The sequence below is a fragment of the Homo sapiens genome, chromosome 10, assembly GCF_000001405.40.
Source record: "Homo sapiens chromosome 10, GRCh38.p14 Primary Assembly".
Classification (NCBI taxonomy): Eukaryota; Metazoa; Chordata; class Mammalia; order Primates; family Hominidae; genus Homo; species Homo sapiens.
Window position 1 is genome coordinate 68648577 of NC_000010.11, and position 22333 is coordinate 68670909.

Sequence of the window (22333 nt, forward strand, 5' to 3'; positions counted from 1 at the left end):
TTGACCAAAGGTGATGTTTTTATTAGAAGCAGGTGGTTCCATAGGGAGGCTAAGTATATCACACTGATTTTTTAACAACAGTAGAAAATATAGTGTTGTGTAGTAATAATATTGAATTCTTGTCTTTCCAAAGTACACTTGTTGTTCTGAAATAATATCCTTCCATTTCTCTGCTCATTGTTCAATACACAGTGTTTTTTAGGTTTTTGTTTTGTTTGTGGATATGAGGTCTCACTTTGTTACTCAGACTGGTCTTGAACTCCTGGGCTCAAGTGATCCTCGTGCCTCAGCTTCCTAAAGTGCTGGGATTACAGACATGAACCACCACACCAGCTAACACACAGTTTTGACAAACTGCAATGTGCCAGTTATCAAGGATAGGCTGTTCTGAGAAGAATCTCACAATTTGGAAAGAGTGACAATGCTGTCTGAGTGGAGTTGAATTGGGAGAAAAAGTTTCTTGAATTAAGGAGAGAAGAAAGTAATCATCATAATGGCTTCCATTCTGGAGATCTTACTACAAGTCTGATATTGTGCTTGCCTTGACTTGTTATTTTCACAGAAGCTCTTCAAAGAGAGGGTTTATTATCCCCATTATACAAATGCAGAAACTGAGGCACAGAGAATTTCATAGCTATCCAGTAACTGAACTGGGACTCAGAGACAGCAGTCTCAACTCCAGAACCTATCCTTATAACGAACACTCTGGTGCTTAATAAAGGTGAATTATAAAAGAGAGAACACTTTTCGGCTGGGTGCAGTGGCTCACGCCTGTAATCCCAGCACTTTGGGAGGCCGAGGCGGGCAGATCACGAGGTCAGGAGATGAGACCATCCTGGCTAACACGGTGAAACCCCGTCTCTACTAAAAAATACAAAAAATTAGCCGGGCATGGTGGCAGGTGCCTGTAGTCCCAGCTACTTGGGAGGCTGAGGCAGGAGAATGGCGTGAACTGGGAGGCAGAGCTTGTAGTGAGCCGAGATCACGCCACTGCACTCCAGCCTGGATGACACAGCGAGACTCTGTCTCAAAAAAAAAAAAAAAAAAGGGAGAGAACACTTTTCTAAATATCCTTACAAATGGAAATAAGGCCTGTAGTTCAACAAACACGTGCCTTTAAAGTTTATATACCTGAGCTAGACTACTTTTTCTATGTGCATGGTTCTAAAAGGATGATTGTCTAGTTTGAAGACCCTTTCCTTATGCAAAATAACTAGTCACAGCATATAGGAATAGACAGCCAGGCATTCAAAGTTGAATAAATACCTGCAGGGGACTCAGCTGTTTTATCTACTGTCACTAACATGTCATTAGTAAATCATTACATGTAAGTTTATTGTGCTCATTGTGTAGAAAAAGGCACTTAAAGACAGAGAAACAAAAAGTTACTTACCCAGTCACTTTTTATCAAATCATCCCAAGTAGTACCATCCATATCTGAGGGTAAAGAATTTCCATGGTGGAATTATGTTCTAGCAAAATAATCTCTAGATTAGGATTCCTCAAACTGAGCAGTATTGGTGTTTTATCCTTCGTAATTCTTTGTTGTGGGGAGCTGTCCTGTGCATTGTGGGATGTTTAGCAGCATCTCTATCTTCCACCCACTAGATGCCAGTAGTAATGCACACACATAACTGCCAAATTGTCACGACCAAAAATGTCTCCAGGTATTTCCATGAGTCCCCTTAGCGGCAACATTCCCCTGGTTCAGAATCAGTGCTGTAGATCACTAAGAATAAGATAAAATCTATCAAGTGTATCTTACTTAAGAAGCCACAGAAGTAGGCTGGGTGCCGTGACTCACACCTGTAATCCCAGCACTTTGGGAGGGGGAGGCGGGTGGGTCACCTGAGGTCAGGAGTTCGAGACCAGCCTGGCCAACATGGTGAAGCTAAAAGTACAAAATTAGCCAGGCATGGTGGTGCATGCCTGTAATCCCAGCTACTTGGGAGGCTGAGACAGGAGAATCGCTTGAACCCAGGAGGCGAAGATTGCAGTGAGCCAAGATCTCATCACTGTGCTCCAGCCTGGGCAACAAGAGTGAAACGCCATCTCAAAAAAATAATAATAAAAAATAAAGGTGAAAAAGGAAGCCACAGAAGTAATTCCCCTAGTATTTGACATCCAGTGAAAATGACTTTTTGGTGTAGGTATACCATGGCTAGAAATTCATGAAACGCAGAAATTCCCCAGTAATTCTTACTACACATGAGTCTAAGGGGCCAAGTTAAAAATAGCATTTTTTAAGAAACATAAAATTCATGCTCACAAAAATTCAAGTGGTGCAGAAATACGACGCAAACATCTTCCTATACTCCCATTCTATACAAAAGAACATTATTGATTTTAATTTTGTTTCCATTTTTACAAAAATTTAAAACAATCTTTCTACTTGGTTTTTTAATATAATGATATTGTGGATGTCTAAATGTTTTATAAATATTATTGTTTCAATAGATTTATTGTATACCACTATATAAACATCCCATAATTTATTTAAACCACATGTTATTGACAGATGTTGAGTGTTTTGCTCTCTTTTTGATATTACAAATAATTGTAACAAGGAACATTCTTTTGTAATTGTGCAAATGTATAGTAGAATAAATTGTCTGCAATGAAATTGCTCAATTTTCCCAGCACTTTGGGAGGCACAAGGTCAGGAGATTGAGACCATCCTGGCTAACATGGTGAAACCCCGTCTCTACTAAAAAATACAAAAAAAAAATTAGCCGGGCGTGGTGGCGGGTGCCTATAGTCCCAGCTACTTGGGAGGCTGAGGCAGAATGGTGTGAACCCGGGAGGCGGAGCTTGCAGTGAGCCGAGATCGCGCCACTGCACTCCAGCCTGGGCGACAGAGCAAGACTCTGTCTCAAAAAAAAAAGGGGATTGCTCAATTTTAATAGGATTCTAAGGGCAACCTTTAACATTTATTGTTCTTGGATAACTTTTAGTATTACACCTCAATTAATACAGATTTTTTTTTTAAGCAGGAGATAGGAGTATAAATATGACCCACATCTTAAAATATTTTTTTTCTCCTCTGATTTTCAGAGGAAGAAAGAATTCGTTAGGGGCAGGAAGAAAGGAACATTAAAAGTTAAATTTCATGGGCTGTTGTCCTTGCCTTTAATTATCAAATCTTACCAAAACCTTGTCAAGATTCATGGTTCTGAATTGAGGGGGAACAAAAAGTATAAAAGTAGCTTCTCCTGTCCCCTATGCAATTCTGTAAAGCTTTGGGTCTAATAATCTTATTCCTTCCACAGATCGAGTTATACAAAAAGACAAAGGCCCATATTATACACACCTTGGGGCAGGACCAAGTGTTGCTGCTGTCAGGGAAATCATGGAGAATAGGTGAGGAAATACGCTTCCCTGTTAAAATCATTCTTACTGTGGATCTGACTCAACGGAGATAAATCATCTCTAAGAACAAACGCCGTGATTGAAAAATGATCAGGAGTATGAGTTGGATGTTTCTTAGGGCCCAACAAAAGAGGGGTGTCCTCGTGTCCCTACTGAGCCACCCATCATACAAGCTGTTGGGCACATAAAAGCACCCACAAAGCAAGACTAGTTGTCTTTGATAAACTCAGAAGTACTTTTTATATATCGCATAATGGTAGAAATAGGTCAAATTACCACCCTTGACACTGCATACCCTACATTCCCATTGCTTGTCTGGCACTCAGCCTATTTTTTAAAGAGTGATCTTTGAGGATAAGTGAGTAGGACTGGTTAACAAATTAAAATACCTGCCACACAAAAGCAAATGTTTAACAAGAGTAAATTACGAAGAGTGTCTAATTTTTGAACTTCTGTACATCTATATCTTATATACATTAAGATGTTCAAAGCCAAAGCCTTCAAGTACAGATTGCAATTAATTAGTACATTCCCTTCACTGTGTTTTATACTCAGGTATGGTCAAAAAGGAAACGCAATAAGGATAGAAATAGTAGTGTACACCGGTAAAGAAGGGAAAAGCTCTCATGGGTGTCCAATTGCTAAGTGGGTAAGTATTTCCTATTTATACATTTTTTTGAAGCTTGTTATTCCAGAGCTGATATTTATACATTTACAATAGCCAGAGTGATCTTTATTTTATTTATTCATTTATTTATTTAATTTTTGAGACAGGCTTTGTCGCCCCGGCTGGATTGCAGTGGTGCAATCACACCTCACTGCAGCCTTGATCTCCCAGGCTCAAGCAATCTTTCCACCTTAGCCTCCAAGTACTTAAGACTTGCCACCAAACCCGGCTAATTTTTTTTTTTTTTTTTTTTTTTTTAGTGGAGAGCTCAAGTGATCCTCCCGCCTCAGTCCCCTAAAGTGCTGGGATTACAGGCGTGAGCTACTGTACTGGGCCAGATTTTTTAATAGATTTTTAAGTAAATTGGCCATTTGTGATGAAAGTTGCAAATATATTTTCTCAGTTTGTTGTGGTTTTACCAGTTAGATTTTTTTTTTGACTGTAATCAGCTTTTTCATCTTTTATAGCTTTAGGGTATTTTATCTTAATTAGAAAAATCTTTACCACTTGTAGGTTATAAATCTTTCATTTTCTTTTGTAGTATTTTAATGATTTTATTTTTTCTATAATGAAGTATTTTATATTTATCCTGGTTTAGAATATTGGTAGCTATGTACACTTCTCCAGATGGCTACTCAGTTATCCAACACCACTCATTTAATTGTACATCTCTTCATTATTGATGTGTATTTGTTTATATGTGAGAATTCCCTATTGTGTTAAATCACTGTCTTTAATCAGCATGAGATTGCTCTAATTATTTAGATTTTATAATGTTTCCATGTCTGATAGGCTAATTCCTTTTAATTTTTCAAAAGTGGTCTGACTATTCTGGTTTATTTTATCATATTAGTATATAAACACCACGTTTCATTACAAGAATAAAATCCTACTGGTAATTTTATTGGAATCATGTTAACAGAATTTGGAGAATTTACATATATTTCATGTTCAGTCTTCCTATTCTACATATTGCATCTTTACATTTACATATGCCTTCTTTTGTCCTTTAGAACCATTTTAAGGTAGAATTTAAGGGAGAATTTACATGTTTCTTGTTTTTGTACATATTTCTCTTGTGTATCCTCTAATACAGTTAGTCCAACAGACTAACTCTAATTTTATATTGCTTTAGTAACGATGGTCTCCTTACTTTGTTTCTCTCTTCCCATGGGGATCTTTCCAGGGTTTTCCCATTAAGTGTGGGTTGTCGGCCCAGCACGGTGGCTCACGCCTGTAATCCTAACACTTTGGGAGGCCGAGGTGGGCAGATCACCAGAGGTCAGGAGTTCAAAATCAGCCTGGCCAACATGGTGAAACCCCGTCTCTACTAAAAATACATAAATTAGCTGGGCATGGTGATGGGCACCTGTAGTCCCAGCTACTTGGGAGGCTGAGGCAGGAGAATCACTTGAACCCAGGAGGCAGAGGTTGTAGTGAGCCAAGATCGGGCCACTGCACTCCAGCCTGGGCAACAAGAGCAAAAATGTCTCCAAAAAAAAAAAAAAAAAAAGCATGGATTGTCAGGGAATGCCTTTCGGGGGAGGGAACATTTAAGCTGAGAAAGGAGTGACAAAAAACAAAAAAGAGCTAAGTAGGCAGAGGATAAGCAGGAAGTAGCATTCCTAAGCAGAGAAAACAGCAAGAACAAAGGTCTTGGGTTTAGAAATAAGAGTCCAGTAAAAAAAATCTAAGCAGAGTCAGTTGAAATTAAGGGGATAGGCCAGGCGCAGTGGCTCACGCCTGTAATCCCAGCACTATGGGAGGCCGAGTGGGGCAGATCACCAGAGGTCAGGAGATCGAGCCTATCCTGGCTAACATGGTGAAACCCCGTCTCTACTAAAAATAGAAAAAATTAGCCGGGCGTGGTGGCGCGAGCCTATAGTCCCAGCTACTCGGGAGGCTGAGGCAGGAGAATTGCTTGAACCCCCGAGGTGGAGGTTGCAGTGGGCCTAGATCGTGCCTCTGCACTCCAGCCTGGGAGACAGAGTGAGACTCCGTCTCAAAAAAAACAAAAATGAAAAACGAAATTAAGGAGATAATTAATAGAACCAGGTGGGGGTAAAAAGGTGAATGATTTTGTAGGCCATAGTGAGGAGCTGAGGTTTTAGCCCATGAGTAACATGAAGGCCTTCATGTTTGAATAACAAACAGGTATTATCTCCTGCAGTTTTTGTGGGTTAGGAATCCAAGTGGTGCTTCTGACATAGGCTCCTATGAGGATGCAATCATCTGAAAACTTGACTGGGGGAGAGTGGTGCAGCTGGAAGACCCACTTCCAAGCTCCCTTACAGGAGGCCTTAGCTCTTTGATGGCTGTTGGCTGGAGGCCTCAGTTCCTCCTCATCTTAAATGTTTTCATAACACAGCAGCTTGGTTTCCCCCAGAGTGAGTGAATCAAAAGAGAGCAAGAAGGAAACTACAGTGTCTTTCTTTCATCACCTCAAGAGGTTGAGGCCAGGAGTTCAAGGTCACAGTGTACTATGGTGGCTCCTGTGAATCCATAGCCAGCCACTGCACTCCAGCCTGAGCAACATAGCAAGACCCCACATCTCTTTTGTTTGTTTAAAGAAAGAAACAAAGAAAATAAACTAGATTCTCAGAAGCCCCAGTTATAAATCTCCCAACCTGGCTTTGTGGTAATAATTTTCTTGCTTTCCACCTTTCCCTGCTACTTATATATTTCTCAAACAGTATAGTTTTATTTTGTTTTGTTCTTTTGTGTCTGGCCTATCCATAGTACCTTGTATATTTGAAATAAATCACACAATTGGTTCCCAATATCTGGCGCTGATAGTTGTTACCAATTTATTGAGCTATATCTGTTAGCTATTTCTGAATTGTTCACTCCTTTGTCTATTAAGTGGTAAGGAATGAATATGTCCTCATGTTGTGGCAGCTGGCTTCTCCTACAGTGAGTCCAAAAGAGAGAAATGTAACTAGGCTTATTGGTGGGATTGGGATGATTTCTTTTTCCTCTCTTTAAAACCTTTTCTAATATAATAATAATGACAGTGATATAAAGAATTGTAGTGTATAGTTTTTTTGTTTTTGTTTTTGTTTTCCTTAAGAAGGCAAATATAAATGCTGTAGCTTAAAGATTTCGGTAACAACTTTCTATTAGTATTTTTCCCTAGCGAAATTTTATTTGTTTTGGATATCTGTCTGTGTTGCCTGGGCTAGAGTGCACTAACCCAGGGGACTCCAACCCCTGAGCCATGGGCCAATAGGAACCTGACTTCATGGCAGAAGGTGAGTGGCAGGAGAGCAAGTGAAGCTTCATCTGTATTTACAGCCACTCCTCATTGCTAGTATTACCACCTGAGCTCTGCCTTCTGTCAGATCAGCAGTGGGATTAGACTCTCATAGGACTGCAAACCCTGTTGTCAACTGTACATTCAAGGGATGTAGGTTGTGCTCTCCTTATGAGAATCTGATGCTTGATGATCTGTCACTGTCCCACCTCACCCCCAGATGGGACCGTCTAGTTTTAGGAAAACAAGCTCAGGGCTCCCACTGATTCTTTATTATGATGAGTTGTATAATTACTTTATTATATATTACAATGTAATAATAATAGAAATAAAGTGCACAATAAATGTAACGTACTCGAATCATCCCAAAACCTCTGCCCCTGGCCCCACCTCTGTGGAAAAATTGTCTTCCATGAAATGACAGACTCTGGCTGTTGCCCAGGCTGGAGTGCAGTGGCTCAATCTCGGCTCACTGCAAGCTCCGCCTCCTGGGTTCACACCATTCTCCTGCCTCAGCCTCCTGAGTAGCTGGGACTACAGGCGCCTGCCACCACACCTGGCTAATTTTTTGTATTTTTAGTAGAGACGTGGTTTCACTGCATTAGCCAGGATGGTCTTGATCTCCTAACCTCATGATCTGCCCACCTCAGCCTCCCAAAGTGCTAAAATAGATTTTTTAACAGATTTTATGTCAGAAAAATCGTAATGTTAGTCAAACTTTATTTTTCCAAACTTTCCAGGTTATCTTACTTAAAATATTCATATCACTTACTGCTTTTGCAGAGAGCAATGCCGAGCCTAGAATTAGCACTCAATAAATTTGTGTTGAGTGAATGAATATGGAGCTTAAATATGGCTATTTAGAAAATGTATTTTAGGGCTGGGTGAGGTGGCTCACGCCTGTAATCCCAGCACTTTGGGAGGTCGAGGCGGGTGGATCACCTGAGCTCAGGAATTTGAGACCATCCTGGACAATACGGTGAAACTCCGTCTCTAGTAAAATACAAAAAATTAGCCAGACATGGTGGCACGTGCCTATAGTCCCAGCTACTCAGGAGGCTGAGGCACGAGAATCACTTGAACCCAGGAGGCGGAGGTTGCCGTCAGCCAAGATGGTGCCACGGCACTCCAGCCTGTGCAACATCCAGAGTCTAGCTCCAAAAAAAAAAAAAAAAATTTCCCATTTGGGTGCGGTGGCTCATTTCTGTATATCTGTAATCCCAGCACTTTGGGAGGCTGAGGCGGGAGGACCACTGGAGCCCAGTAGTTGGAGACCAGCTTGGACAACATAGTGAGACTCTACAAAAAAAATTTTTTTTCTTTTTTTTTGAGAGGGAGCCTCGCTCTGTCGCCCAGGCTGGAGTGCAGTGGCGTGATCTCGGCTCACTGCAAGCTCCACCTCCCAAGTTCACGCCATTCTCCTGCCTCAGCCTCCCGAGTAGCTAGGACTACAGGCGCCTGCCACCACAACTGGCTAATTTTTCGTATTTTTAGTAGAGACGGGGTTTCGCCGTGTTAGCCAGGATGGTCTCGATCTCCCGACCTCGTGATCCGCCCACCTCAGCCTCCCAAAGTGCGGGGATTACAGGCGTAAGCCACCACGCCCGGCCAAAAATTTTTTAAATTAGCCAACTGTGGTGGTGTGCACCTGTGGTCCCAGCTACTCTGGAGGCTGGACGATTGCTTGAGCATAGGAAGAGGAGGTTGCAGTGAGCCATTATTGGGCCACTACACTCTAGCCTGAGTAACGGAATGAGCCCTGCCTACAGAGAGAAAAGAAAGTTGAGTATCTTGAATTTGAATTGGTATCTTGAAATAGTATGGCTATGGTATTCATTATTAGCTATATTCTGAGGCATGAGAAACTGAGGATTAGAGCTGGGAATCTGCTGGAGTTGTCCACCCCACGCTTAAACTTTAGGTAGAGGTTGAATGAAAATTGGAATTAAAAAATGTCCATGAAGGAAGGTGGGAAAAATTTTAAAACAATTTTAAAAAAGAATTAATTTGTCTGTATTCTACATAGTTTGTAGAACTTTATCATGAGGTTATTTTGAATGACACTAGTGCAATTGGGTGGATTATACGTGGGTGAGGGAGGAAATGAAGGTCAAAAATTTTGAACTAAGAAATCGAATATACACATACAGCCAGTGAATTACATTGCTCCAAATTTACTTTTCATCTTGGATAGTGTACCTTTTTTGTGTATTTGTTATAAAACATTAATCTATATCAAGCATCGTTTCATGATTTCATTTTTTAAAATCTCCATGTATATGCTTAGGTTTGTTAATAGTATTAAAGTTCTGTCCTAAACTGCCCCCTCACCTTTTTTTTAAGTTGTGTTTCTCTTGTCTTCTTTTTTTTGAATCTTGCTCTGTTGCCCAGGCTTGAGTGCAGTGGCACAATCTCGGCTCACTGCAACCTCTGCCTCCCAGATTCAAGTGATTTTCCTGCCTCAGCCTTCACCATGTTGCCCAGGCTGGTCTCAAACTCCTGACCTCAAGTAATCCACCCTCCTCCACCTCCCAAAGTGCTGGGATTACAGGCGTGAGCCACCGCGACAGCCCTCTTGTCTTCTTTGCTTGGAAGAGAGATCTATTGCTTCTCTTTTTAATGATCACACACAAAAAGTCTAACAGCAAATTCTAACTGGCCAGCACCACTTTCTTAGCCATTCTTATGTTGTTTTGCCTATGTTCGCAACACCGTTTTATTCTTCTCTTGAAATGTTTCCTTGCCAGGTGGTCATTAAAACTCTCACATAATTATAGTCTTTGGCAGAGATTTTTGACTCTTTTTCTCTGCTGTCACTTTGGATCTTGTCAGAAACAAGTTATCTTGTTCTTCAGTAGATTTTGAAGAAAAGGGTAATGTAGTTTCTTAGATGCACCTTAGATGTTCAAGGAGAATCACTTGAACCTAGGAGGCAGAGGCTGCAGTGAACTGAGATTGTGCCACTGCCCTCCAGCCTGGGTGATAGCATGAGACCCTGTCTCAAGAAAAAAACAAAAAAAAATAGTATTTTAAAAATTAGCTGGATGTCGTGAGTAAATCACATTTAAGAATTTCCCAGCTGGCCAGCGTGGTGGCTCATGCCTGTAAACCCAGCACTTTGGGAGGCTGATGCAGGCAGATCACTTGAGACCAGGAGTTCAAGACCAGGCTGGCCAACGTGGTGAAATCCCATCTTTGCTAAAAATACAAAATTAGCCGGGCGTGGTGGCATAAGCCTGTAATCCCAGCTACTCAGGAGGCTGAGGCAGGAGTATAACTCTTTGTATACTTCCCCTCTTGAGCTTCTGGGGTAATGGCAGAAGTAGGTAGAAGAAGTCAAACAGTGGATGGCCTCATTGGCCCCAATGCCTGAGTGCTTCACATTGGGCATCATATGATGAGTTCCCCTCTGTGCGATTGTGTATTAGTCAATAGAGCAGATGTGGCAATGAATACCTACAAGTGATTTTTTTTTCTTTGGAGATGAAGTCTTGCTCTGTTGCCCAGGGTGGAGTACAGTAGTGTGATCTTGGCCCTTTGCCTCCCAGGTTCAAGCCATTCTCCAGCCTCAGCCTCTCGAGTAGCTGGGATTACAGGCGTGTGCCACCATGCTCAGCTAATTTTTGTATTTTTAGTAGAGGTGGGGTTTCACCATGTTACCCAGGCTGGTCTCGAACTCCTGACCTTAAGTGATCCACCCACCTTGGCCTCCCAAAGTGCTGTGATTACAGGCATGAGCCACCGCGCCCGGCCAATATTAAACTGACTTACATGTTTTTCTTTACTTAAGCTTATTGTCTGCTAAAGTACCATTAGTACTCTTTTTATGTTAGTTTGTTTACTTGCTTATAGAGTTCATTTTTTAAGGAAATTTTAATTCAAGTATAATATACACACAGAAAAGTATACATACCATAAGGTACAGCCCAGTGAAATTGTACAAAGTGAACATACCTATGTGACCAGTGGCCAGATCAAGACATTACCAAAACTTCAGAACCCCGTTGTGTGAACTCAGTCATTAATCCCTTTACAAAGGTGGAATTGTATTGTAAAAGTCTCATTTTCTTGTAATATGTAGATAGCTTTAAATGATGTTAACTGGTGACATTTTGGAGGAGTTGGCCACTATAATTTTGTTTTGAAAAATTTACTCTACTTTGTCTCTTACATGATTATTGATGAAACTCAAAATGACCCTTCTTTGGAAAGATACCCGCTACACTTGACATGAATGTTGCTCCCAGATCTGAATCTGATCTGGAATTTGTATGCTGCCCAGATCATTTGTGCACTGACGAATCACCCTATTCCCTTTGGAAACCTTACAAATAAGATTGTGTTACAGGGACTTATTTTTTGCTTTAAAAAAATAATCTTTTAAAAAAATTATAATTTACAGCTTGGATACTTCCGCTTAGTTTGGTTTTTAATTTAATTTAACTTTTTTTTACTTTTTTCTTTTCTTCTTCTTCTTCTTTTTTTTTTTTTGAGATGGAATTTCACTCTTGTTGCCCAGGCTGGAGTGCAATGGCACAATCTGGGCTTACTGCGACCACCATCTCCTGGTTTCAAGCGATTCTCCTGTCTCAGCCTGCTAAGTACCTGGGATTACAGGTGTCCCCCAGCCAAGCCCAGCTAATTTTTGTATTTTTTAGTAGGGATGGGGTTTCACCATGTTGGCCAGGCTAGTCTCAAACTCCTGACCTCAGGTGATCTGCCTGCCTTGGCCTCCCAAAGTGCTGGGATTACAGGTGTGCCTGGCCAATTTTTTTTTTTTTTTACTTTTTAAAAAACTATTATTACTTTTTTGAGACAGAGTTTCACTCTTGTCGCCCAGGCTGGAGTGCAATGACGCGATCTCAGCCCACTGAAACCTCTGCCTCCCAGGTTCTAGGGATTGTCCTGCCTCAGCCTCCCAAGTAGATGGTATTACAGGTGCCCACCACCAAGCTCGACTAATTTTTTTTGTATTTTTAGTAGACATGGGGTTTCACCATGTTGGCCATGCTGGTCTCGAATTCCTGACTTCAGGTGATCCACCCGCCTCGGCCTCCCAAAGTGTTGGGATTACATGCGTGTGCCACCGCGCTAGCCGTTTTAAACCTTAAAATTTTTTTTAATTGTGTAATCTTGCTCCTTCTAATATTAGTTGTTTTTTGTTTTTGTTTTTGTTTTTTTTGAGACAGAGTCTTGCTCTGTCGCCCAGGCTGGAGTGCAGTGGTGCGATCTCGGCTCACTGCAAGCTCCGCCTCCCGGGTTCACGCCATTCTCCTGCCTCAGCCTCCCGAGTAGCTGGGACTACAGGCGCCTGCCACTGCGCCTGGCTAATTTTTTTTTTTTTTTTTTTTTTTTTGTAGTTTTAGTAGAGACGGGGTTTCACCATGTTAGCCAGGATGTTCTCGATCTCCTGACCTCGTGATCCGCCCGCCTCGGCCTCCCAAAGTGCTAGGATTACAGGCATGAGCCACTGCACCCAGCCTCTAATATTAGTTTTTAAATTTAAAAATTATATATACACATTATAGATATATTTCAAATTTTAAAAGCCATTACAATTTTATCCTGTGCTTAGAGATTATAATTTTTAGCAGTTTGGGTATACTCAAACTAAGAGTTAGGCTGTGAAAATTTTCTGTTTTTTGAGACAGGGTCTTGCTCTGTCACCCAGGCTAAAAGTACAGTGGCGCAACTCACTGCAGCCTTGACCCAGGCTCAAGCAATCCTCCTTCCTCAGCCTCCCAAGGAGCTGAAACCATAGGCACTCACCACCATGCCAGCTAGTTTTCTGGGGTTTGTTGTAGAGACGGGGTCTCATTTCATTGCCCAGGCTGGTCTTTAACTCCTGGGCTCAAGAAATCCTCCTACCTTGGCCTCTCAATGTGTTGGGGTTACAGGCATGAGCCACCATGCCCAGCCAGAACTTTTTTCTTTTCTTTTCTTTGTTAAAAAAACACACACACACACAAAAAACCAAGTATTGTGGGTTTTTTAATTTAAAAAAAATTTTTTTTCTTTTTTTTTTTTTTTTGTGAGATGGAGTTTCACTGTTGCCTCCCAGGCTAGAGTGCAGCAGCACGATTTCAGCTCACTGCAACCTCTGTGGTTCAAGCGATTCTCATGCGTCAGCCTCCCCAGTAGCTGGAACTACAAGTTGCACCACCACACTCGTCTAACTTTTGTATTTTTAATAGAGACAGGGTTTCACCATGTTGGCCATGCTGGTCTCAAACTCCTGAACTCAGGTGGTCTGCCTGCCCTGGCCTCACAAATTGCTGGGACAGGCTTGAACCACTGTGCCCTGCCCTAATTTTTGTATTTTTAGTAGAGGCGGGATTTCACCATGTTGGCCAGGCCAGTCTCGAACTCCTGACCTCAAGTGATCCACCCGCCTTGACCTCCCAAATTACTGAGATTACAGGCATGAGCTACCGTACCCAGCCTGTTGTTAATAGTCAAAAAAATAGAAACAAAATACTAAGCTAAGAGTGATAATTTTTGTCATTGTACATCTAAGGTGAAAGTTGACATCATGATTCAATTTGCATTGTAACTAGCAAAGTTGGATGTCTTTACTTATTATTAATTTTTATTAATAATAAATTTTACGTATTATTAATTTTTATTTCTTCCATGAATTCACTCTTCATAGCCTTTTTTTAGGTTATCTTCTATTATACTTTTGTAAATATGTATAATAGACCACATATATATAATATGTGTATGTATAATAGACCATGGCTGGTTTTATCATGGCTGGGCGTGGGCCCTCACACCTGTAATCCCAGCACTTTGGGAGGCTGAAATGCACAGATCGCTTGAGGCCTGGAGTTTGAGACAAACCTGGGCAACATAGCCAGACCTCATCTCTACCAAAAATACAAAGAAGTAGCCAAGCACGGTGGCAAGCACCTGTAGTTCTAGCTACTTGGGAGGGTTAGGCGGAAGGATCGAATGAGCCTGGAGAGCTTTTAAATGATGTTAAAGGCTGCATACAGTGAGCCATGATCAAACCACTGCACTCCAGCCAAGGTGACATAGTGAGACACTGTCTCCAAAAGGAAAAGAAAACAAAACAAAAAAAGAACAGTTTTAAAAGAACAAACTTCAATTTAGAAGGGCAGTTCCCTTATTTGTTTAAAAAACGTTTCTCTTGAGGGTTGGAGAATTACCTGTTGGGTACAATGTTCACTATTTTGGAAGTGAGTATACAAAAAGCCCAAGACTTCACCACTGCCCAATATATCCATGTAATAAAACTGCACTTGTACCCTCTAATTCTTTAAAAACAAATTTTCCTGACATGATGCTCATTTACCCTTCCATATGAACCTTAGAAGCACGCTAAATTTGAACAGACTGGGGGAGAGATTTGTGGCTAGACATTTAGGGTTGGCTTTCTCATTTAGGAACACTATTATGTTCTTCCAACTGAACTTTCTTTTATAACCTTCTCTGCATTTTTTATAGTTTTATTCTTAGGTTTTTTGCATCTTTCTGTTTTTTAACAACCTTACTGAGATATCAGACTTTAAACCAAACTTCTATCTGGTTATTCCCACTATATAGTAAAGCTATTGCATCCTCAGTATATAAGGATCCAATTGTTTTACTTTCTTTAAAAATCAAGTAGATTTTTCTGTGATTCTCTTGAAAAATATTCTAGAAAGACTATTATAGCTATAATAATTGTGTCCTATTATTTTAATACCAGTCATATATCATATTGTCTGTTTCAAATAGGACTGTAGAACAATTATGAAGTCTGTATACCAGCAAGAAGTTAGTGAATATAGTAGAAAAATAATTAAATGTCACTATAGTATTCATTGACATTAGGAATAGATAGTATATTTTTGTACACACAGAACAAGAATGTGTATACCTTTAGTGTTCTCCTGGTTTTTGGAAGGAGGGTAATTAAAAAGCTGTTTAAATACTTGGTTTTTCTGTTTCCTATATGCATGTGACATGACTAGAAGCCAAATTTGCCTGCTGTAGCAAAAACCTCTATGGGGCTTTGAGCTGCTTCTGTCCAAGCCTCGAATATTCAAGAATAATCTTAGCTGCAGTTGCCTCTTGGAAATTTAACAGTATCTTTATCACAACACTCTCTTCTCTCCACCAACGTAGGTACCTCCTTTTTTTTTTGAGATGGAGTCTTGCTCCCATCGCGCAGGCTGTAGTGCAGTGTTGCAGTCTTGGCTCGCTGCAACCTCCACCTCCCAAAGTGCTAGGATAACAGGCATGAGCCACGGTGCCGGCCTGGGTAGCTCCTTTTTACTGTGTTTTACTTTGCTAGGTGACAAATATTGTCGGACATATATTCATATGCTCATCATCTATTTTCATATTCTCTATTGTGAAGTGCCTATTCAATTTTTTCTGCCAATTTTCTATGGGGGCAATTCTCTGTATATGTTGTGTCGTATATATTATGCCAAATATATGTAATGTAAATATATATAATGTGTATATATATATCATGTCAAATATATGTCATGTAAATATTTCTCCTGCCCTTTTGCTTGCCTTCTTTATTTTTTTATTTTTTTTAATTTTTTTGAGACAGAGTTTCTGTCTCCCATGCTGGAGTGCAGTGGCGAGATCTGGGCTTACTGCAACCTCGGCTCCCGCCTAAGCCTCCCAAGTAGCTGGGACTGCAGGCAGGTGTCCACACCCGGCTCATTTTTGTGTTTTATTGAAGAGACAAGGTCTCACCATGTTGCCCAAGCTGGTCTCAAATTCCCGACCTCAAGTGATCTAACCACCTCCCAAAGTGCTGGGAGGTGCGCCCAGCCTGCATTTTTTTTTTTTTTTTTTTTTTTACTCTGTTGCCCAGGCTGAAGTTCATGATGATAGCCTTGAACTCTCCCATCTCAAGTGATCCTCCTGCTTGCCTTCTTTATTTTTTTATTTTATTTTTTGGCGGGGATGGAGTTTCTGTCGCCCATGCTGGAGTGCAGTGGTGCAAGCTGTGCTCACTGCAACCTCGGCTTCCCAGGTTCAAGGGATCCTCCCCCCTCAGCCTTCTGAGCAACTGGGACTACAGGTACATGCCACTATGCCGGGTTTATTTTATTTTTTGTGGAGACTGAGTCTCAGTATGTTGCTCAGGCTGGCCTCGAACTCTTGGCCTCAAGCAATCCTCTCACCTCTACGTTCCGAAATCCTGGCATTACAAGTGTGAGCTGCGGCACCCAGCCTTTTTTATCTTTTCAATTAGCAGATTTGGTGTAAGCCATTTTAAAATGCTTTGCCCACTCCTAGGTCATGAAGATGTTTTCTTCTAAAATTCTTCATTGCTTTATTTTTTGTGTTTAGATACACATTATAATTCAAGTTGATCAATGTGAGGTAGGGGTCAAGATTCATTTTCTTTCATAAACTTTGGAACAATTGGTCAGTTTACACATACACACACACACACACACATACACACGAACCTCTGATAGGGTTTTGATTGGGATTGCATTGAATCTAGAGATCAATTTTGGGAAAATTGACGTAATTATAATAATGTCTATTCCATGAATTTATACTCCTCTGCATATAGTTAGTCCTTTGTTTATTTTAATAATAGTTTTAGTTTCCAGAAGCCTTACGGATTTAATATTTAAGCAGTTTATGGAGCTCAGATTTGAATTTAAAGACTCCTAACCATTGTGCTTAATTTTCTATTGTACACTGATGGAAACTTGGAATATCCAGAAAAGGCACAAATATCATCAGTAAAAAGCTTTTTAGCATTTCCTATACAAAAACTTTATTAATATAAATTCATTGTTAATTTTGACAACTTGAATATTAACCAAAATAATTTTGGTACTATATATATATATAATTTTGCATTTGAGATTATTTGCAAGCACTGTGTTATTATTTGGCTGTAAGAGGACGTATAAATATAGAAAAAATTTTAATATAAATAATTGTGTCTAGGGGGAAGGTCCTAAAGCCAACTCTACTCAAGGGATGCCTTGGTAGCAATGATTGTTAACCATCTGGAGTGACAGAAGAAAGTGATATTGGGTAACTAACTTCTTAAGAAGTTTCATCTCAAGTTTTGTAATATTATAGCAACAAAAAATTATGCTATTGGTTGCTCCATTCTGGTCACATGGATGGGCGTTTTCATCATGTCCTGGTTATGTACTGATTAATGTGGTCAATCTCTGCACTTTCTAAATTTTTGATACATGGAGGCAGTTTTAAATGGTTGGATGGTTTTATGTGGTGACAACATTTGTATAGAATTTTTTTTTTTTGTAGTTAACACTCAGACCACTGAGCAAATTTTAAATACTGCCGAAGCCTTTTTAACATCCCAATAATTGGATGCAGTATTAAATAAACAAATAAATATTTACAATTAATTTTTCTATTTTGCATTCACCAAGTCAAGTAGACCACATTAGTCTTATGAATAAAATGCATATAATGCATCCTTCCAATAACATGTAAAAATCATAGAAACCACAGAGGCATTCCTTTGTGTATATTAATTCTCGATAGTAAAATGAGTCACCCAAAGGAAAAGCCATAACATTCCTCAGATGGCCAAAATTCGTTGTCAAGTTTATTTTTAATGTTGAGAGTTCTTGGTTATTTCCATCTAACTACATTAGATGGTTTTTTTCCATCGTCTACATTTGTTCCCTTGTGACATTTGTGGAATTTCAGTGCAGTTTTCTACCGGGCCCTCTCTTGTCTGTTGTGCAAACTATAACAGCAGTGAAATAAAACACAGACTGCCTTGTACTACTTCTACAAATAATAACCACGTGTCACAGATTTTTGTTCTGCCTGTTGTTTGTTAGTCATATAGGTTCAGGTACTCTTGTGATGAGTCTCATGGAGGGAACTGTTGAGGCAGTGGAAAGTCCTACAGGGTTTTATCCCTTGAGAAGTAGTAACTTTAAAAAAACTAAAATATGGCCGGGCATGGAGGCACATGTCTGTAATCCCAGATCTTTGGGAGGCCAAGGAAGGAGGATTGCTTGAAGCTAGGAGTTTGAGACCAGCCTTGGTAACATAGTTAGACCCCGTCTGTAGAACAGATTTTATAAATTAAGTAAATAAACTAAAATATAATCATGGAGAACATCAAAAGGAATATCCATTGCATTCAAATTTGGCATACTTGTCTTCCATAGATGAATGTATTCTGTTTTTTCAGGTTTTAAGAAGAAGCAGTGATGAAGAAAAAGTTCTTTGTTTGGTCCGGCAGCGTACAGGCCACCACTGTCCAACTGCTGTGATGGTGGTGCTCATCATGGTGTGGGATGGCATCCCTCTTCCAATGGCCGACCGGCTATACACAGAGCTCACAGAGAATCTAAAGTCATACAATGGGCACCCTACCGACAGAAGATGCACCCTCAATGAAAAGTAATTAAATCTGTTTTATACTGCCTTACCATTCAGATCTCTATTACATATTGGTAAAATTGTTAATTAGCTACCAACTATGTATATTATATGGGAGAATAGGATTTGAGTATTGTGGAATTAAAAAGAATGAACATTTCTGTAAAGAGAGAGTCTCTATTTTATAGTGAGTTAAGGTTACTTTAAATCATTCTCCTTTGGAATATTACTTCACTGTGACCAGGTGCAGTGGCTCATGCCTGTAATCCCAGCACTTTGGGAGGCCGAGGCAGGAGGATCATGAGGTCAGAAGATCAAGACTATCCTGGCTAATATGTCTCCACTATAAATACAAAAAATTAGCCGGGCGTGGTGGCGGGCGCCTACAGTCCCAGCTACTCAGGAGGCTGAGGCAGGAGAATGGTGTGAATCCGGGAGGCGGAGCTTGCAGTGCGCTGAGATTGTGCCACTGCACTCCAGCCTGGGTGACAGAGCGAGACTCCATCTCAAAAAAAAAAAACAAAAAAGAAAAGAATATTATTTCATTGCTTCCCAAAAAGGGAAGCAATGAAAGAATATTGCTGACCCAACTCACTTCTAGAGTCTGGAGGAAAGGGATTTTGACTTAAAAGAATGGTCTTCCACAGGAGTGTCATATCATTTTGCATTTCCTCTATTCAATGTAAGAGAATATCTGTTTTTCTGTAGTCTTACCAATGATTATGTTGGCAAATGTGAGTTTTTGCCTATTAAGAGAAATGACATCAGTGTAATTTTGACCTGAATTTCTCTTATGAATGAGAGTATTTTTTTCACATGACTAAAAACCATTTGGCTTTTTTTGTTTGTTTGTTTTAACCACCTGTTAAATAACCTAGCCCATTTTTGCAGAGAATTCCTCCATTTATCTATTTTCTCTCTGATGGTGCTATTAACTCTTATTCTGTGATATAATTTGCAAATATTTTTCTCAGTTTGTCTTTTTCCTTTGGCTATGTTATCTCCCACAAAAGGTTTTGTTTTTGATGCAATCAAACATACCCATCTTTTTCCTTATTTGGATCTGGATGTTGAGTGGTATTTAGGCATGTTTTTCTATGACTTTAAGCAAAGCAACATATAATGAAACCAATATTTTTCTCATCAACGCTGTAGCAATATTGAGCGATATTCGGGGAACTGCTCTAGGTGGTTTCACTTATAATCAGTTTCTAACAGCCTGTTGACATCAAGTGAGAAATGACTATACTTGTTTAAAATATAAATTTTTGAAATTTAAATCTCTCATACATTTAATGAATCACTGGTGAATAGTTGTAAGAGGAGATAAGTTTTGTTGTTGTTCTTGTTGTTTTGTTTTTTTGAGACGGAGTCTCGCTCTGTCACCAGGCTGGAGTGCGGTGGCGCAATCTTGGCTCACTGCAATGTCTGCCTCCCGGGTTCAAGCGATTCTCCTGCCTCAGCCTCCTGAGTAGCTGGGACTACAGGCATGCGCTTTGGGAGGCCGACAAGGGAGGACCACTTAAGGCCAAGAGTTCAAAAGCCAGACCAGGCAACATAGTAAGACTCCATCTCTACAAAAATATTTTTTTAAAAAAACTGTTTGGGAATGATGGCATATGCCTGTAGTCCTTAGGTAATTAGGAGGCTGAGGTGGAAAGATTGCTGTTGCCCAGGAATTTGAGGCTGCAGTGAACTATGATGATGCCACTGAACTCCAACCTGAGCAACATGGCAAAAGGAGAGAGAGAGAGAGAGAGAGAGAACTTCATGGGCCTGATGTACTGGCTCATGCCTGATCAAAGCAGGAGGATTTCTTGAAACCAAGAGTTTGAGAACCTATCCCTACACAAAATTTTTAAAACCAGGCATAGTGGTGTGTGCCTGTGTTCCTGGCTACTTTGAAAGCTGAGGAGGGAGGATGGCTTGAGGCCAGGAGTTTGCCGTTACAGTGAGCTCTGATTTTGCCAGTGCACTTGACAGAGCATGATCAAGTCTTCCCCTCACCACCCCCCACAAAAAAAAAACAGTTCACAAATACAGAAAGATGTAAGAATACTTCAGCGGAGTCTTTTTTTTCCTTTTTTCTTTTTGAGACAGAGTCTCACTCTGTCGCCCAGGTTGAGTTGCGGTGGCGTGACCTCAGCTCACTGCAAACTCTGCATCCCAGGTTCACGCCATTCTCCTGTCTCAGCCTCCCAAGTAGCTGGGACTACAGGCGCCTGCCACCATGCCCAGCTTTTTTTTTTTTTTTTTTGTATTTTTTTGTATTTTTTGGGGGGGTTTTTTTTTGTATTTTTAGTAGAGACGGGGTTTCACCATGTTAGCCAGGATGGTCTTGATCTCCTGACCTCGTGATTCGCCCACCTCGGCCTCCCAAAGTGCTGGGATTACAGGCGTGAGCCACCACGTCCAGCCCAGTGAACTCTTTTAAGACAGAGTCTCGCACTGTCGCCCAGGCTGGAGTGCAGTGGTGCAATCTTGGCTCACTGCAACCTCCGCCTCCTGGGTTCAAGCAGTTTTCCTGCCTCAGCCTCCCAAGTACCTGGGATTACAGGCGCCCGCCACCACGTCCAGCTAATTTTTGTTGTTGTTGTTGTTGTATTTTTAGTAGAGACGAGGTTTCACTATGTTGGCCAGGCTGGTCTCAAACCCGCCTCAGCCTCCCAAAGTGCTGGGATTACAGACGTGAGCCACCGTGCCCGGCCTGGTAAACTCTTATATACCCTTACTTAGATTCCACAATTGTTAACACTATGTTACATTTGTTTACGTACACATACAAACACGTTACTGTTGTAGACTTATTTCTTTCTTGATCATTTGAGAGCTAGATGTAGACTTTGTCTTTTTCCCTAAATAATACTTGAATGTATTTATCCTAAAAATGAGGATTGTTCTCTTGTATATCCCCATATAATGATCAAATTCAGGAAATTTAAATTTGATAAAATACTGTGATCTCATCTTAGTTCATATTCAAATATCATCCATTTCCCAATAATTTTCCCCTGTCCATGATTGAATGCATTTAGTTATTTTGTCCTTTTGCTCCCTTAATCCTTTTTGTTTTCTCAGTTTTTGTCTGTCATGACATTGAAATTTTTGAAGCGAAAAGGCTAATTCTATAGACTGTTAATCAATTTTGGTTTATCTGTTTCTTCCTGACTTAAGTCAGGCTATGAAATACAACCTATAGCCAAAGATGGCTGAAACAAAAGAAAAAATAATTAAAAAGATGAAATATAACCTGGACTATTACACTCAGTGCAATTTGTCCCACTATTGGTGTTGTTGACTATTTAAAATAATCTGAGGATGCTCTTCTAGATCTCACAACTTATCACATTTCCTCTGTGTTTCATTTTTAAAATAATAGTACATAGTAAGTTAAACAACATTTTTCTCTCCTTCCATGTCTTTTTCAATGATATGAATAAATTTCTTATGTTTCTATTTGTTTGGCAACTTTAATTTATTCTATTCAAAATGTTTTAACCATTTTCATTCCATTTGCATCTCATTTAGTGAATTTCATCGTAGTCTTTCTTTTATAAGCAATGCTAAGTTACGTATCAGGCATTTTCCAGGCTTTCACAGTGAAAACATAAAAAATAGTTTTTTTCTAAATTTTTATATTATTTTCACTTTTTCAAAATAATTGGTTTCTTTAT

General features: G+C 40.1%; 1 protein-coding gene across 19 annotated transcripts in view; it reads left to right on the forward strand.

Annotated features, from left to right (window-relative positions):
- The window catches only part of TET1 (tet methylcytosine dioxygenase 1), a 134151-nt gene that overhangs the window by 88240 nt on the left and 23578 nt on the right, over positions 1 to 22333 (forward strand). For 13 of the 19 annotated variants that reach the window (NM_001406365.1, NM_030625.3, XM_017016688.2 and 10 more), the window contains 3 exons: positions 3270 to 3360; positions 3925 to 4018; positions 18469 to 18680. In NM_001406365.1, coding sequence (NP_001393294.1) covers positions 3270 to 3360; positions 3925 to 4018; positions 18469 to 18680 — 397 coding nt within the window. Of the gene's footprint in view, positions 1 to 3269; positions 3363 to 3924; positions 4019 to 17231; positions 17322 to 18468; positions 18681 to 22333 lie in introns of those variants that run through there. The other 6 variants (NM_001406373.1, NM_001406374.1, XM_011540206.3 and 3 more) reach the window with 5 other exon arrangements.